We start from the raw sequence: 19011 nt of genomic DNA, 5'->3' as shown, positions 1-19011 counted from the left end.
TCCCTGAACTTAAAGTATAATAAATAAAAGTAAATACATACACTTCTCTCCTGACTTCTCCTTTTCCTCTGCAAATTGCAAGAAGTTCATTTCATAAAATTTAAGATTTATGGAAATTCACTACATGTCATAATAAGGAAGCGTCAACAATGAAGGAGCCTAATGCTGATCAAATATTTTGGTGAACTTCCTGATTTTCAAAAGTTATTTTGAGCCTGGGCCCAAATTCCAACTTGCTGCAGGAACACATCCTTAAAAACAGCATGGCTTTCCTGCAAAAGGCATTTGGCCATTTGCTGAAGTGGATCCAAAATGACACAGAAACCAGCCACTACTCATCAAAACTAAGACTTTCCCCCACCTTTCACTTTTTAACTGAATGTCTATTAAGAAAGCAAAGTTATTTAAAGCCATTTCTAAAACTCAACAGTGAGCTGTACCTTAAAAGATAGACAGAAGATCATAATGTTGCTTGTGATGGTTTCCAAAGATTAATTTTATAAATGAGAAAGAAAGAACTCTGATATTGATGAGTAGTAGATTAAATGATATAACAGAAAGAAAACTGATCATTTCAAATGTATAGTTACATTTTATCTCAGTAATTATTAATTGCAATATATTTAAACACATACTTGGTTCTCTTTGCAAAGAGTAAACAGAAGATCAAATTGATTTACAAACCACTTTCACAAAAAATATCTCATTTATTCCTCACAACAGTGCTTGGTTTGCATAGTTCCATCCCCATTTTACATATGAGGAAACTAGATTATCATTCCACCACCCAGCTAGTTAAAAGCTTCATCAAGACATTATAGATGATAATCAATGGCATGGGATCTGGAACCTGACAGAGATGTACTCAACTTCCAGGCCTTCTATTTACTGGTTATATGACTTAAGACAAGCTAGTATGTAAAATATGAACCCAGATAGGCTTTACAACTCAACATCCTATGACACAATATCAGAATGCTAAGGAATACATGAGGAAAACAAGGAAGACAGAAATACATACATACTTTACTTTGACAAATAAGATATTTCACCGTTGTGAGTCTATCTCCACTCTCCACTCTACGTAATTATCATAGAATCTAAAAATACTTAAAAGAAGCAACCCACTCAATGAGTGACACGTTGGTTGTTTGGTGTCTTATTTGTTTTTAATATCTAGACATGTGCTGCCTCCTTGTTAAAGCAATATGAGGCAACTCACAATAAAATTCACCGCTGTGGTGATGCTCTCGTGCACTTCTTCTCTCCTCAAGCTTTGGTTTTTATGTGCTTGGAATGCCCTTTTCCCCACCCCGTACCACCAGAAAGAGATAGAGCAGGAACTAAAGATAGGTGTGAATGCCCACACATATCTAGAAGGATATCTACTAAAACTGTTCATGAGAATCCCTGAAAAATGATGAGTTTTTACTTTCTATATTGTTAGATTTCTTATAATCAATATGTTTAACTTCTCTCTATACACTTTAAATTACATTTTTCCATCTTCCTGATGATACCTCCAAAGACACTGATTCAGCAGGGAAGGGTCCAGGATTTTGATCTTCCAAAATCTCCCAGAGACTCTATTAAGCAGTCAGTTTTGGGTACCATGGTTGAAATAACTGATTCCAGTAGAAGTAGCAAGTGAAATTTTGCTTTTTAGGAAAAGTTTCAACTCTATTAAACAATTATTTAAAAAATTATTTCCTTTTATTTTGTAATAGTTTGATTCCACTGCAAATATACATTCTCTAAGTTTATTAGATTTGAATTACCTCTGAGAATTATAATAGCTTGGCCAGCCATTTTAAGTTATCCATTTTTGAACAAAGGGCCTAAACAATCATTGTAAAACATATGTTTGTTAGGCAAATTTCACAAACCATTTAAAAATTAAGGCAAACAAGAAATATATAAATACAAATATCAGGGTTTTTTAATTCTAAATTTTTAACACTAACTTAAATACCATTTGACTGGCTCTAAAAATCATGGCCATTCTCAAAATATGAAGTAGAAAGTTACCGCAAATATAAACTTTGGTATAATTTATACCTATTTCACTAAACATTTTTAAAGTTTTAACTTTGGATAAATATAAAGATGCCAATATTTTTATAATTAATTTGAAAAATGTATAATGTTCTAAAACTCAGACATCAAAGCATCTATTTCTTTAAATTTATTAGTTATATCCTCAATACATTCTCCAGCTTTTAATTTTATCCCATCAATTACAAGATAGTCCTCTTCATAGTGGTTTTCAAACAGACTGCCTGCAGGAGCTTCTGGGCTGCATTTAGATAACTGCAAAACAACCATATAATTAATCGGAACTATGTCAAATTTACCTGATTATTGAACAAAACATAAAGTAGTAATTCTGCAAGCCACATTAGCTACACAAACTTTTCTGTTATTCTAGTGTTCAAATAATAATCACTATATATAGTATAATGCAGGATGAATGTGTTAATATAAGAAAAAGTTATTATTTAGGTCTGTGTCTATTCCCCAGCCTTATACATTTTTAGTTTTAATTTTATGCTCTGGAAAAATGTGATAATTCTAATTCTATGTGAGTTTTCTATGTTGTTTTATTTTTTACATTATTGTTATAGGGAATACAACTTAAAATGTGACTGTTTTAGTCACATTTTCTGTGGTCATCTTGTCAAAAGGTCATCTGCATTACTTAAAAATAGTGATAATTTGCTCTTGCTTAGTGGGAAAGGATACTAGTAAAAACAATGCATATGTGGATTTATTTGATTTATAACTTCAGAGTTTATTAAAGATAGGGTTCACTTCCCATGTAATTCAAGGGAAAAAGTATATATGTAGTTCATATAAATATTTTCACATAACAAAAATGTACCCTTTTATAGAAATAATTTTTCAGTAAACTCTGTTTTATTTGTGTATGGATTATTCAATTTGTGAATTATTCAGGTGGATTTATAAAAATCTAAAATTTATTTCCTCCGATTGCTTGCCAAGTCAAGGCATGTCACCCAATGTTAATATTAGCTTAAGAAGAACATAATTAGGAAGGTGACTCTATGTAGGAAAATAATTTCATAAAACATTTCAATGACAAATAGAAATGAGTTTTGATTATCTATGTGTATAAGCTTTTTTCCATGTTTTTACTCTCATCCATTGATGTAAATGCCTGAGATAATCCAATTGAAAACTCACAGGTGAAATGAATGATGAAAACATTATCAAATTTACAACTTTGAAAACAGCTTATACAATATCTGCTCAGAGAATCAACATGCTCAGGACTTTAAAATTCTTAGAGGTCTCTTTGGAGTACTTAACTTATAAGAGGCCACCCTCCCCTAAAAACAACACATCTCCAGCTTTAAGTGGAGTTGTTTTTGGGAGACATATTAATTATTTCTAATAACAATAAATAAATAAATAAATGAAATCCAACATGTGATTACTTCTTTACTTTTAAACTGAAATTTCTCCAGCTTTGCTAGTTGGTTTCACTGTTATTCTCCTCATTTAAAAGTGAACAAGAACCCAAATATCCTGAATCTGGCATGAATGCCAGACTTACAAAGCTCAGGGTGCAGAGTGCTTATGAATCAGTAACCAGGAGGCACTCACCTGCACACTAGCCAGTTAAAATTGCTAATTTTTACACTTCTGAAATGCTGTTTGAAAGCATAAAATAATACAACAATCTAAAACAACAAGCAGTCTCCTGCCTGGTGATGGGTTAAAGCTATGTATTTTACCTTAAGAAATAAAAATCAGAAGTATTTCTCTGTTCTATCAAGTTACTACTTATAATGGCAAAACAGAAGTCAATTCTGTGCCTATAAAAGCTCCAGGACATCGCTATAAAGATCAATCTGGCTGTATTTTTGAAAAGAAACCGCTAACACTGAAAAACACTGCACAAAACCATATGGTATTCGAATAAAACACACATTTGCTGAAAAAGAATAATTTGTATATTAATTATACGTATATAGGATGTATGATACCAATCTGCAGGTCTTGTTCTGCAAAAGACCCATACATAGAAAACAAGTCTTTTTTTTTGGAAAGGAACCCAACTGGAAAAGTAGCATTTACAACCCATGAACATTCAGGTAAAAATTGATATTGCTGATGCTGATTAAGAAAGTTATGTTTTTCAACTAAGTAGGAGTTCTTAACGTTAATATTACTTTCCTTTAGCATAATAATCTCCATAGTAGTACATTCTGTATATTTTATTAATTTCTAACTCAATAAAGGACATGTTTACGAATAATCTATTTTTATTGACATTCTGAATGAAATCATACAACTGGGCAGTCTGCTTAAAGGTATAAACCCCTTTGTCCATTTATAAATCCATCTTTTTCTACATCTAGGAACAGACAGACTTCGAGATAGGCAGTTGCTCAAATTGTGAATGTGGGAAAAGAGAGATGAAGTAAGAAAATCTAAGCACTTATTCTCTCTAGCAACTGCCATTGCCAATTTTCAGTCTTTAATAATAGCCAAACCTTGGGTGTTTGTTCCTATGCAAAGCACTTTTCCTGGTTTACCATTTTTTTAAATTATACTTTAAGTTCTAGGGTACATGTGCACAACATGCAGGTTTGTTACATATGTACACATGTGCCATGTTGGTGTGCTGCACCCATTAACTTGTCATTTACATTAGGTATGTCTCCTAATGCTATCCCTCCCCTCTCCCTCCACCCCATGACAGGCCCCAGTGTGTGATGTTCCCCTTCCTGTGTCCAAGTGTTCTCATTGTTCAATTCCCACCTATGAGTGAGAACATGCGGTGTTTGTTACCAAATTTAATCCTCAAAACAATCCTCTGAGGTAAGTGATAAGCCACTTTTTCAAATTACATAAGTCCTTATTGGCAGGACCAGGATTGGGACACAGGATTATATTTCAGAGTCAGTGTCAATATGCTCTCTTGACTCCAGGCACATTGTGTACCTAAATGAATGAATGAATAAAGCCTTAAGGTTACAGAACTCCTCACTGCCATTTTTTTTCCTAGTTAGGGAACAGCTGCATTGCCACGTGAAAGTGTCTACCCTATGACTTCTTTTTCTCATACCTACCACATCGCTGCTCTGTACTAATGGCATGAGCCTTGTATCACAAACTCATTTTATTGCAGAGACACTGAATAAAGTAAGCACATTTGGCCTTTCTGAGTTCAACATAGAAAGCCAAATGAAAAAATTAAAAAAGGAGGAGTCTACATATAAATGGTAAAACTTATTCCAGTGAAAAATTCTACTTCCCGTATGTTAATGATAAGGTTTGTCCCTGTAGAGATTATCTTGGTACATAATCCAGACGGGGCAGATTTTCCAGTGAGCTCTTGGTATCCTGGCCCCCTCTCCTGACTGTAAAGATTGGCAGCAAGGAGGAATTCTCTCTGGAGTGGCCTACTTCAGCTATAGTGAGCATCATCCATCTTTCTTCACTCCAATCCCAAAGATTTAAAATTAAAAGAACTCCTCTACTTAAACACAGATTGTTTTTCAAATCCTGATAGATGTGTTTTGATTTCTTAACAGGTTACTAGTTTATTATTTACCTCATGATAATCAAGGACTCAAATTTCAGACATGAAAAGAGTTTTTTATATATTTAAAATGTACAACTAGGAACAATTCTGCTGTTTAAAGAATTTGAAGTTGTTATTTAGGTCTGAAAATAACTATCAATATTACCTTTTCTCCCATATTTATTTCCTCTCCATGTCCTTCTTCTGATTCATCAGGTGTGGCTGTGGGTTGCAGTGCTTGCTGCAGCATTTGCTCCAGCTCTTTTAGTAAAACTTCCGTCTCACAGACAACTAAAAAAACAGGATTAATACAGTAAAAATGCTACATCTCACTTAATTCAATCTAATTCATAATCTTAACTACCCAGAAAGAAGAAATCTTTTAAATGCTACAAGGTAAAATATAAATGTTTCATATAATTTTCATACATGACTTCTTCCTGATACAAAATTATTATGAATTTCAAGGTGAGTCTTTTACAATTCTTCCTTGAAAAATGTAGGTGATAGTCTTGCTATGTATAAACCATAAAGTAGAAGTGAAATATCAAAAGCTTATTAGAATTTTTTTTTAATTAGGGGCCAAGGGCACCAAGCTAAATTATATTATTTATAGAAAAAGTGTCAGCAAATTTTTCTCTAAAGGGCCAGAGAGCCAATATTTCAGGCTTTGGGAGCCAGATGGTCTGTGACAAAAACTCAATTCTGTTATTGTAGCACAAACCATTGACATGTACATAAACAAATGAGAGTGGCTATGTTCCAATAAAACTTTATTTACAAAAACAGGCAGCAGCTGGTGACCACAGTTTGCCAATCTCTACTATAGACTATTAAACTACTGTTTAAAAGGAAAAGTTTTGTAATTAAGTGGCTAGGCTGAACACAGGCTAGTGCCTTCCCAATCCAAATTGCAACACATCTTAATTGCCTAATCTAATTTTATTTTAAAAAAATACTGCATTTATAAAAGTCTTTTTGTGTCACTGTGACATGCTTACGCCTGTAATCCCAGCACTTTGGGAGGCTGAGGGTGGATCACGAGGTCAGGAGATTGAGACCATCCTGGCTAACATGGTGAAACCCCGTCTCTACTAAAAACACAAAAAAATTAGCCTGGCGTGGTGGTGGGTGCCTGTAGTACCAGCTACTCCGGAGGCTGGGGCAGGAGAATGGCGTGAATCCGGGAGGCGTAGCTTGCAGTGAGCTGAGATCACACCACTGCACTCCAGCTTGGGCGACAGAGGAAGACTCCATTTCAAAAAAAAAAAAAATAGGCAAAAAAAAAAAAATCTGGTAATTCATTGACCTTGCTGAGATAAAACAATATCCCCACCAAAGAAATAAAAGCCTACTATAACTCTAGACTTAACTACTGATTAAAAATATGCATTTGAGTTCTTGACTTAAATAAAACAAACATTTTCATTTGATATAGGGCCTAGTGAAGCCTTTGCTTCAAAGAAAGGAGGCCACATGTGGCCTGCTGTCTTGCACCAGAGGCAGATGGAGCATCTAAGAAGCTCTTCCAAAAACAACGTAATTCAGAGAGAAAGGCTGTGAGTACACATCCCTTCATCTTCCACTTTTTAGTAAAATCTAATATACCACCTTCTATTATCTGCAGTTCATGGGCAAGTCAGCAAAAATCACACCTAGTAGAGCAGCTGAAAGGTCATGGAAAATGAAAATACCCAAACAGGACATAAGTAGGAAAATTTTAAATTCTGCTAAAGTACTTATTAAATAATGTTAAATAAAATCATAGCAGGTTATGATAGGTTTCCCTTTCTTGGTTGTCATTACAGTACTGGAAAACTACTTTAAGTTTATATTTTTCATAACACAAGTTCATCTTGAAAATAATTTTTCTGTCAATATTTACTGCTTTCCCCAAGCACTTTCATACTCAATCAACAAATATTTACTGTTTACCTACTAAGGGGCAGGAACACAAGAAAATAGGCATAGACTAATAAGCCTTCCTAGCTATCACCTCCTTCTAGTCAATTTCAGGTTTTCTCTATGGAAAACCTCTTTCAAAATAGTTTGAAACAAGCTTTCTGATAAGCAACTCCACATCTTATAAAATGTTCTCATGTTTAAAAACAAACAAACAAGCAAAGCCTGTAATTAACATGTTAGTTGCATCCACATAGATCTGTGTTCTAGGGTTACTGCTAAGGCCTAAGAACACAAAGTATAGAATGCTAGATTCTAAAACAGTGGCATTCAAAATTGTGTGGGCATAATAATCACCTGGGGAGTTTATTTAAAAATATAACAATGTCATGTCTATCAAATCAGGATTTTCTAGAGGAATGTAAGTTTTTTATTGAAGCACTTTTGTTAATAAAACTAACGCCCTCTTTAAGACAGATTTCTTATTTAGTAACCTGTTAATAGATGACTGCTCATGGTTATTTTCACACCAATTCCCCAGTTCCACTCACAAATGTTACATTTTCCTACTTTACATTCTGAGTCTATGGAAATTGACAATGACATTTAATACACTGTTGAGAAGATAGATTTGAAGCTATGCTGTAAAAGAAAAAACGGCAAACAAACATCTTTATATTTCTAATGTCAGGCTAAAATACAATCAGTTTATGATAATAAATATCATTGCGAAATGGCATTGTAGGCTCTCTGTTTTCAAGTGATCTGAAGAAATATGTACACTGCCTTTTGATCAAAATTAGACAAAGTAATGGATGACTTCATAAGTCAACTAGGGTTTACAACACCAACCTGACTGCTGTCAGCTTCTGCTTCCAGAGCAGTGGGAAGTTTGCTTTTCTAAATAAGTATTCCTATATTGTAAATGAAGTTAAAAAATAATTCTCAAAAAATAGCAGTTACCTTAATCTACAAACTATGTTATCAAAATTGGTCAGTGATATCCTCCAAAGATACGGACAAAATGAATGCCTTTGCTGATTGCATGACCAATCATCTTCTGTCAACACTGATTATCTTGTAGTTTCTCTGACTTGTTTCAATTTATTGTTGAGAGTGAAGTGGTAGCATTACGGCCACTCCATTACTCAGAGAAAGTTAAAAAAAAAAAAAAAGAAATGAAAGAAAAAATATGTATCTGTAGTAGCGAAGTCCATATCTAGATTTTTTTTTTTTTTTTTTTTTGAGACGGAGTCTCACTCTGTCACTCAGGCTGGAGTGCAGTGGCACAACCTTGGCTCACCACAACCCCCACCTCCCAGGTTCAAGAAATTCTCCTGCCTCAGCCTCCCAAGTAGCTGGGACTACAGGCACGTACCACCACACCCAGCTAATTTTTGTATTTTTAGTAGAGACAGGGTTTTACCATGTTGGCCAGGCTCGTCATGAACTCCTGACATCAGGTGATCCACCTGCCTCTGCCTCCCAAAGTGCTGGGATTACAGGCGTGAGCCACCATGCCCAGCCCCATATCTAGTTTTTAAAAATTAATGTGTAGAAAATAAATCAGTGTTGTTTTTCCATTCCTGATAAGAAATAACTCACAGTTTGTCTCAATAACTCAGTCACTATTTTAAAAACTTTCAAATACAAAATTTATGGAGTTTTCTTTCACCTCGACTTATCTATTAAATGTTTAAGAAGCTGTTTCCTCCTGATAGAGTTTGGATATGTGTCTCTGCCCAAATCTCATGTTGAATTGTAATCTACAGTGTTGGAAGTGGGGCCTGGTAGGAGGTAAGTGCATCACGGGAGCAGATTTCTCACAAATGATTGAGTACTATCCCCTTGGTACTGTCCTGGTGATAGTGAGTGAGTTCTCATGAAATCTGGTCATTTAAAAGTGTGTGGCAACTCTCCCCTCTTTTGTTCCTGCTTTTGCCATATGACATGCCTGTTCCCCCTTTACCTTCTGCCATGATTATAAGCCTTCTGGGAAGGCTCCCAGGAGCCAAGCACCATGCTTCCTAGAAAGCTTGCAAAACTGTGAGCCAATTAAAACCTCTTTTCTTATAAATTACCCAGTCTTTGGTATTTCTTTATAGCAATGCAAGAACAGACTAACACATTCCCTTATATAGTAGCTACTGGTTGGGTTACCCCAAAGCTGGCACTGAAAAAAAAATCCTAAATAAATTTGCACGGCTATGTCAATGTTGAAATTCTGAAAGTGTTTTAATAAAAGAGAAGGGTGATGAGGAGGAAAAAGTACTTAGTTTTCTTTTATTTTCTAAAAGAAAGGTGTTAGAGTCTAAAACTTTTCCTACTTTACATTCTGGATGTAAAAAAAGAAGTTATTTTTTAAAAATAACTACTTCATCCTTTCTGTAACCCAGAGTGGAGTGCAGTGGCGTGATCATAGATCACTGCAAGCTCAAACTCCTGGGCTCAGGTGATCCTCCCACCTCAGCTTTCCCAGTAGCTAGGACTACAGGCATGTGCCACCATGCCCAGTTATTTTTTTTTTTTTAATTTTAGTAGAGATGAGGTCTCACTGTGTTGCCCAGGCTGGTCTTTAACTCCTGGGCTCAAGGGATCCTCCCACCTCAGCCTCCCAAGGTGCTAGGATTACAGGCATGAGCCACTGCACCTGGCTTTCCTTTCTTTTAATAAGACTACAACGACTGACTTATTTAGCCAATTGAAATGCAATGCCATAGGATCCCCTGGGAGTGGCTTCAAGGAAAAGGGAATATATCACTGATAACTCCTCAGGGTTTAATGGGCTTTGAACATGACTGCCAAAGTTCCACATTGCAAATAAGCATTTCACTGCTTTTCAAGACTAAAGAAAATGTAGAAGGAGGAAATTGCCTTTGAAAACTAAAACTTTCTCCCTGCATTCCACATTCACTCTACTGTGTTCTAACCAACGACAATTTAGTTGGAAGCCCCAGTCTTCTGCTTTTCTTTCTTCTCTCCCTTTGGCACTCCTAGGATCCCAGTAAGTTTGGAATGAAGAAGTCTGGATTGAAATGTATAGTTGTTGGTATTTCTTCCCACAGCTGCTGGTGCTTTATTTATTTATTTATTTATTTATTTATTTATTTATTTATTTATTTATTGAGAGGGAATCTTGTTCTGTCATTCTGTTGTTCTGTCGCCCAGGCTGGAATGCAGTGGTGTGATCTCGGCTCACTGCAACCTCCGCCTCCCAGGCTCAAGTGATTCTCCTGCCTCAGCCTCCAGAGTAGCTGGGATTACAGGTGCATGCCACCACGGCCAGCTAATTTTTGTATTTTTAGTTGAGACCGGTTTCACTGTGTTGACCAGGCTGGTCTTGAACTCCTGACCTCAAGTCATCTTCCTGCTTTGGCCTCCCAAGGTGCTAGGATTACAGGCGTGAGCCACCGTGCCTGGCTGGTGTGTTATTTTAAAAAATTAAATACATGACTGAGACAGAGAAAATTCAATTCAAGGAAATAGAAACCTAAAGAAAATTTAAAAGCCCTGGTATGTAAATCAGTAACAAAAATGATTCATTAATATTTCTCATATATATGTGTATATATACACACACACATATATATGTGTAAAAATGTATACATATGTACGCACATGTATATATGTGTATACACACACACACACACACACACACACACACAGGAAATCTTTTTTTTTCCTTCAAAGGACTACAACTACATTCTGTGGAATTATATATAGGTTAAAGAACTAAAAGCAGGACAGGCTTTCACATACCCCTGTTCTCCTTTGATAAGGCATCATCAGAATAAACATTTTCAAAAGAGCATTTTAAAATTGCTTTCCTAGAAAAAGAATTTGACAGATTTAGTTTCAAAAGATCAATCATGAATATTTAAATGACCATTTGTGCCTATTCATTGGTAACTGTAGATTATAAATGCATATATTTTCTAAAGGTAATTCTCTTGGTTGTTTTATGTAGTAACAAAGTATGTTGCAGTGAAAAACAAAAAAGACTAATACTGATTTGAGCTCTCACTAGGTGCAAAGCATTAACAATTTACCAAGCACCTTACACTGGCTTTTTCATAATCCTCCTCCAAAACACCTACTAATTGTTACTGTCATTATATAAAGAAACTGAGAATTTGAGGTATCAGAGAAAAACAAGAAATTTGACAACTTAGGTAAATGGTGGAACATGGTAGAACTAAACTCTCTCAGACTGCAAAATCCATACTGTTTCCACAATTCTATGTTGCTGACACAGAGTCAGAAAAAAGTTTGCTCAAATGTACTTTCTCTAACCATAAGGTCTTGAGAAAGTCACTAACTTCTCCAAGCTAGGGATTCTTCATTTTTTAAAATGGAGATTATAATATACTTCCTAACAATTTGATAGGGTTACTGTGAAGTGTAATGAAATAAGGCAGTGGAAGTCCATTTTTAAAATTTAGTTATTCATCTTCTGAAAAAGTACAAAGAAGGGCTACCTATTGGTGTCAGTCCTTGTTTTTGAGTAGGACCCCTCCTAACACAGCACTGATTACCATTCTTTAAAAAATGACTGGTTCAACGATAAACACTAAAACTTGTCATCTGTGGCTTATTTGTTCACTATGAAAACCTGTTTCTGGTTTACATTAACTATTTTTAAACTAAAAACCTCATTCTCTTCTGATTGCTCATAAGATATTAATCTTTAAAAGTTCTGTTTCAAAATATTTCATGAATATAAAGCTTTTTCCGTACTTCTAAGACTACTACTTATAATTCTATTAATTCTTTTAGAAAACTGTAAACACAGTATTTTCCAAGTGAAACAGAATCAAGGATTGTGAGATTCTGTTTCCAATAAAGCCCAGCTCAAACTCCTTTGGCCCCTTATCCTGGTACAAATTTCTTTTGGGCCCTCACTATGTCAGTTTCCACCTATATACTAATAGCTTTGCATTTCATGTGCTTCTGGCATTTGATATTTTTTCTTTATCTAAAGGTTATATATGTGTGTACAACTTTAACGTGTTTTTATTACTATTTTTATGTGTTTATGAAGTTATGTAAGGGGGAGTGGATAATATAGGAGGTAGGCATCCAAATCAAATCAGTTTAGCACTCCTGAAAGATGAGCAGATCCATGCAATTGCCCTGACTATGCAGTGGTTGACTAGACGTAAAGATGTTGTTTAGGGTTATTAGCCGGGGTGTTTCTAAACTAAATCCAATATATATTTCAATTTTATCATAATACTATTTAATTTCAAAAAGCATACCTTTTCCTTTTTCTAAATTTGGGCTTCTTCTTTTCAATATTATTTTTAGAAGTCTGCTTCTATAACACAAAAACAAAAATATGAGTTAGTTCATATAGGACTAAATCAGCTCAGTAAAATAATGGGTCCCATGCAGTTCAAGTAATTTGGTCAGAAGAAACACCCCGGCTGATAACCCTAAACAACATCTTTACGTCTAGTCAACCACTGCATAGTCACGGCAATTGCATGGATCAGCTCATCTTTCAGGAGTGCTAAACTGATTTGATTTGGATGCCTACCTCCCATATTATCCACTCTCCCTTACATAACTTCACAAACACATAAAAATAGTAATAAAAACACGTTAAAGTTGTACACACATATATAACCTTTAGATAAAGAAAAAAAAATCAAATGCCAGAAGCACATGAAATGCAAAGCTATTAATATATAGGTGGAAACTGACATAGTGAGGGCCCAAAAGAAATTTGTACCAGGATAAGGGGCCAAAGGAGTTTGAGCTGGGCTTTTCATGTCTAGGCAAAGATAAGTGACATGTTTTGAGGGTGACACTGGTTAGAGAGCTGTGCTAATAATGTTCCATAAAGCCTAGGGACTCCAAGGATTTTTTCTGTCCATAACAAGAAAATAGGAAAAACTTCACTCACCGGGACACAAAAGCAATAAGGTAGTACGCAGTCTGACATGGGGAATTAGATGACAAAAAGCAATAATCCTAAAAGAATGAAAACACTAGGTCTACACCATTAAAGTGAGAAATCCAATTTCATGTCTCCTGAGATTTCCCAATCGAATAATTAACACGAAGACTTAGCTAGGACTTCTAAAATCACCAAGACAAAAGTAAGCAAAAGAGCCAAGAAATTAATGTAAAAATGTATACAGGGTCTTTGTAATTCACAAGTATTAAGAGCATATAGATCATTTGGAGAAGAAAAAGCCCATAAAATAATTATATTTGCACTGTATAGTTCAGTTGACATAAAACTATAAACAGGCAAAGCTAAACTGTGGCACTACAAGTCAGGATAGCAGTTACCTTGGAGGTAGGAAGTGTGACTAGAAGAGGGCATGAGAACACTTCTGGAGTTCTGGAAATGTTTTGCTTCTTGATCTGGTGCTGGTTAGAGGGGAATGCTCATTTTATAAAAATTCATCTAATTTTATCTACATTTATGATTTTCATTTTGTAAGTTTGTATTACAGCAATAAACCTAAATTAAAAATAAGTATTTAAGTTATTAAAGGGTTAAAATGGATTAGAAACTATAATGAACAACTTCAGGTTTCTATGATATCTATGAGCCATGAAAGAATTTTTAAGAAGAGCCAAATAGCACTTCTAGAATCAAAAAAAAAAGTCAAGTCATTGAATTTAAAATTCAATGGATGAATTAAAGAGCTGATTAGATACACTGAAGAAAGAATAACTATTCTGGAAGGTAGATTTGATGAGATCGCCAAATCTATAGCAGTGAGAGACAAAAATACTTTTTGGAAAAGTAGCTAAGAATCATGGAGAATAGAATGATAAGGTCAAGAATATTTCTGAAAGGAGTTGCATAAGAATAATATAGAAACAAAATGGAAGATAAAATATTTGCAGTGATAATGACTAAGAATATTCCAGAATTAGGCCAGGCATGGTGGTTCGCACCTGTAATCCCAGCACTTTGGGAGGCCAAGGCAGGTTGATTATCAGAGGTGAGGAATTTGAGACTAGCCTGCTCAACATGGCAAAACGCTGTCTCTACTAAAAATAAAAAATAAAAAAATCAGCCAGGCATGGTGGTGCACACCTGTAATTCCAGCTACTTGGGAGGCTGAGGCACAAGAATCACTTGAACCCTGAAGGCGGAGGCTGCAGTGAGTTGAGATTGTACCACTGAACTCCAGCCTGGGTGACAGAGCAAGATTCTGTCTCAAGAAAGAAAAAAAAAAAAAGAATTTTTCATGTCAATTTGTAAAAGCCCATGGTGCCAAGCTATAAAGGTAAGACAATTAGGCTGTAATAGACACCATATCAAAACAATATCCAGGAACATATCTTCAATTAAACAATATCCAATAAAACTAAAATTCAAGAAGGTAGCCATATGTGTGTGTTTGTTGATACTGAGGAGTATAAAAAGGTTTAATACTATTTTCTCTGCTTTTTGTGATTGTTGATTTCCATGATTATGAAAAAAATTACAATTTTTAAAATAATATTTTTCAAGAGTGAGAACTAAAAAGATAGAACTTTGCTGAAAGAGCTACTACAGAATGTACTTTGGAGGAAGAAGATTAATCTAGAAAAATCAAAAAGAAGTGAAGATAAGTAAATTAAGTGCTGAACATTATGTAAATCTAAATAAACACTGACCTAAAAAAAGACAAATTGGTAATGGAGTAAAGAACAAAGAGGATTTACAAAAGTAGACAACTGAATGGAAGAGGAAAAGGGGTTAGACAAAGGTGAAAGCATCTTAAGAACCTTGAATTATTCAGAAGAAGAGTGATGGTGATTAGGTTTACATTGTTAAACCCATTAAGCATGTTCATATTTAAGGATAATCACCAAAAGAAGAGAAATATAATTTGTATTTTTTTAAAGAAAATTCATTTCTATTATGTCTAAAAATATGTACTTCAATGGATAGAAAAATTCATAGATTTAACACTTGGATAGACAGATAATGCCTGTCTATTCAGCACATTTATTATTAGAATTTGCTGCTAACATTTTTGAAAAAATTTTTCAAATTAAGTACTTTCCATTTAAAATCTTGTTTACATTATGTACATTCATTTGCTGTATTTTCAAGTTTCATAATTTTGTTCGAAACTCACTTTAAGCTATTAGTTCCCATGAGTTAGGATCCAACAATATGACCCATATAAAGAATAGACATTTGCTCCTAGTTGGTTAACATCTGGATAGTTGAATGACTTCCTGAGTTCCCTTACTGCCGTGAAATTCAATTCATCTTCCAGATTGTCATACATTTACCTCTTCCCCTCTTCTCTCTCCAGTGTTGATCCTTTTCACTTCAGCATTGATTATGCCCAGGGTCTTTCTTGACATCTGGGGTAGATTCTTAGCGTTGACTCTCATCTTGATAGCTGAAAAGGCTACAAGTTCCAGAATGTAGCTACCAGGTGGTAGAGACTCAATCTGGTTCCCTTAGTGACCATGGAGTAGAGATTCTGTTCTAATTGTTTCATTCCCTACTAATCCTCAGTGGACATGCACAGTGTTTGTAAATGACTAATACAGTTAAGACATTTGTACATCATCATCTTCTCATGGAAGATCCTTGACTTTCCTTACAGAAACTGGTGGCTTCTTTTCTTATGTCCTCAGGTTGGTTGAGGTTCCTCTTGGTTTGGTGGGGCATCTCTGATGCACAGTGAAACAGCTAGGAATGCTCTCCTGTAGGTCTAGGGTTGGCTGAGGTAGGTAGCTCTGCCCTACATGACTTGCATTTTCCTAAGACCACTGGGTAAACTTGGGTTAGTGTAGAGCTAAAAAGATAGAACTTTGCTGAAAGAGCTACTACAGAATGTACTTTGGAGGAAGAAGATTAATCTAGAAAAATGAAAAAGAAGTGAAGATAAGTAAATTAAGTGCTCAACATTATGTAAATCTAAATAAACACTGACCTAAAAAAAGACAAATTGGTAATGGAGTAAAGAAAAAGAGGATTTACAAAAGTCAAAAGAAAAGCAAAAATACACAAGCCTCTTAAGGACTACGTTGGAATTATCGCACTGTCACTGCGACGTTATTCCATGGGCCAAAGTAAGTCACAAAGTTCAGCCAAAGGCATGCAGTGGGGCAATATACTCTTCTTTAGAAGGAGCAATTGCAAAGGGTGTAGCTAAAAGAAGGTGGTCACATCTCCTGATTTCAAAAGTTATGATAAAGCTACAGTAATCAAGATAGTATGGTACTGGAATAAGAACAGAAGAATAAATCAATAGAATAGAATTGGGAGTCCAGAAAAAAACTCTCATGTATATGGTCAACTGATTTTTAGCAAAGGTGCCATGACAATTCAGTAAGAAAAGAATAGTCTTTTCAACAAATAGTACTCAGACAACTGGATATCCACATGCAAAATGAAGTTCAACCTGTACCTCACATCATACATAAAAGTTAAAATGGACCAAAAATGTAAACGTTAGAGATAAAACTTACAACTCTCAGAAGAAAACACAGGAGCAAATCTTTATAATCTTGGATTAGTTAATGGTTTCTTAGCTATGACACCAGAAACACAAACAACAAAAGAATAAATTGGATGTCATCAACATTTTAAAACTTCTGTGATTTTAACGGACACAATCAAGAAAGTGAAAAAATCTACATAATGAGAAAAAAATATTTTCAAATCATATATTTGATAAGAAATTGTATCTAGAATATGTAAAGAACTCACAACAATAAAAATACAATAAGCCAATTAAAATAGGCACAATGAATTTGAATGGACATTTCTCCAAAGAAGATGTATAAACAGCCAATAAGCACACAAAAAGATGCTTAATATCATTAGTCATTAGAGAAATGAAAATCAAGACCACAATGACATACCACTTCAACCCACTAGGATAGCTAATATTTTTTTAAAAAATAGACAATGACAAGTGTTCACAGGGATGTGAAGAAATGGAAATCTTTATTTATTGCTGGTGGGAATATAAAATGGTACAGCTACTTTGGAATATAGTTTAGTAGTTCCTCAAAACCTCAAATTTAGAGTTACCCTATGATCTCATAATTCCAATCCTAGGTATATACCCAAGAAAAATAGAAGCATATTCCCATACAAGAACCAGTACATGATTGTTCATAATGGCATTATTTATAATAGCCAAAGAGTAGAAACAACCCAAATGTCCACCAATGGATAAAGTGTCGTATATCCATATAATGAAATATTATTCAGCCATTAAAAATGATGAAGTACTGACACATGCCACAATATAGATGAAAAGTGAACAGCCAGGCATAAAAGTATTATATGATCTAAAATGTCTAAAAAAGGCAAATCTATAGAAGCAGAAAATAGATTCCGTGGTTACCACGGAAAAGGGCAAGGTGGGAAATGGGCAGTGATGGCTAATGGATATAAAGTTTCCTTTCAGGGTGATGAAAAACTGTTCTAAAATTAGCTAGTGATGTTGGTTGCAAAGCTTTGAAAAAACTGAATTGTACATTTAAAAAAAAATGAACTGTATGATATACAAATTAAATCTCAATAAATCTGTAATTTAAAAAACGGAATGACATGGAAAGGTTGAAAGGGACAGGAGTAGTGGCTCACGCCTGTAATCCCAACACTTTGGGAGGCCAAGGTGGGCAGATCACTTGAGGTCAGGAGTTCAAGACAAGCCTGGCCAACAAGGTGAAACCCCGTCTCTACTAAAAGTACAAAAATTAGCTGGTGTGATGGTATACAACAGTAATACTCAGGAGGCTGAAGCTACTCAGGAGGCTGAAGCACGAGAATTGCTTGAACCCGGGAGGTGTAGGTTACAGTGAGCCAATATTGCATCACTGCACTACAGCCTGGGTGATGGAGTGCGACTCTGTCTCAAAAAAACAAAAACAAAACAAAACAAAACAAAAAGGTTGAAAGTGAGGAGCTGGAACATATTCATAATTATTAACAAAAGAAACCTCATGTAGCTATTTTCATGTAGAAAAAAGCAGACATTAAGTCAAAAAGCACAATCAGAGATAAAAAGGGTTATTACCAAATGCTAAAAAAAAATTAACTCAGAAAATATAATTGTCTTGACCTGTCTATTATCTAAAATATTGGTGCAATAATTTTGATGTTTGTTCCCTCCAAACTTCTTGTTGAAATTTGAGCCCCAGTGTTGGATGTGGGGCCTAATGGGAGGTGTTTGGGTTATAGGGGTAAATCCTTCACAAATGGATCAATGCCCTCCTTTGTGGGTGAGTTCTCAGTCTATTAATTCTCACTACGGTTGGTTGTTAAAAAGAGCCCTGCTGACTCCCCTTTGCCTTCTATCATGAGTGGAAGCATCCTGGGCCCCTCACCAGAAGCTGAGCAGATACCAGTACCATTCTTCTTGTACAGCCTGTAGAACCCTGAGCCAAATAAATCTTTATTAATTACCCAGTATTCCTTTATAGCAACACTAAATGAACTAAGACACGTAGCTTTAAAATGTACAAAGTGAAAACACAGAATTACAAACAGAAAATGCTGAATCTACAGGGTTTTTTTACCTCTCTTAAAATTTCTTACACAATTTACCTCTCAAAAAATAATAAAG

The 19011-nt window shown here is 35.0% G+C and overlaps 1 protein-coding gene across 4 annotated transcripts in view; it reads right to left on the bottom strand.

Moving 5' to 3' along the window:
* Positions 1-478: 478 nt before the first annotated feature.
* ZCWPW2 (zinc finger CW-type and PWWP domain containing 2) overlaps positions 479-19011 on the bottom strand; it is a 177638-nt gene continuing 159105 nt past the window's right edge. For 3 of the 4 annotated variants that reach the window (NR_136708.2, NM_001040432.4, NM_001324169.2), the window contains 4 exons: positions 12715-12773; positions 11216-11283; positions 5721-5845; positions 479-2310 (listed from right to left, as the gene is read on the bottom strand). Coding sequence is in view for 3 of the 4 variants with exons in the window: in NM_001040432.4 (NP_001035522.1) it covers positions 2149-2310; positions 5721-5845; positions 11216-11283; positions 12715-12773 (414 nt within the window). In the remaining variant the exon portion in view is untranslated. The remainder of the gene's footprint in view (positions 2311-5720; positions 5846-11215; positions 11284-12714; positions 12774-19011) is intronic. The other variant, NM_001324170.2, reaches the window with a different exon arrangement.

Source organism: Homo sapiens, chromosome 3, assembly GCF_000001405.40.
Source record: "Homo sapiens chromosome 3, GRCh38.p14 Primary Assembly".
NCBI lineage: Eukaryota > Metazoa > Chordata > Mammalia > Primates > Hominidae > Homo > Homo sapiens.
This window is presented reverse-complemented; position numbering and strand designations above follow the sequence as displayed.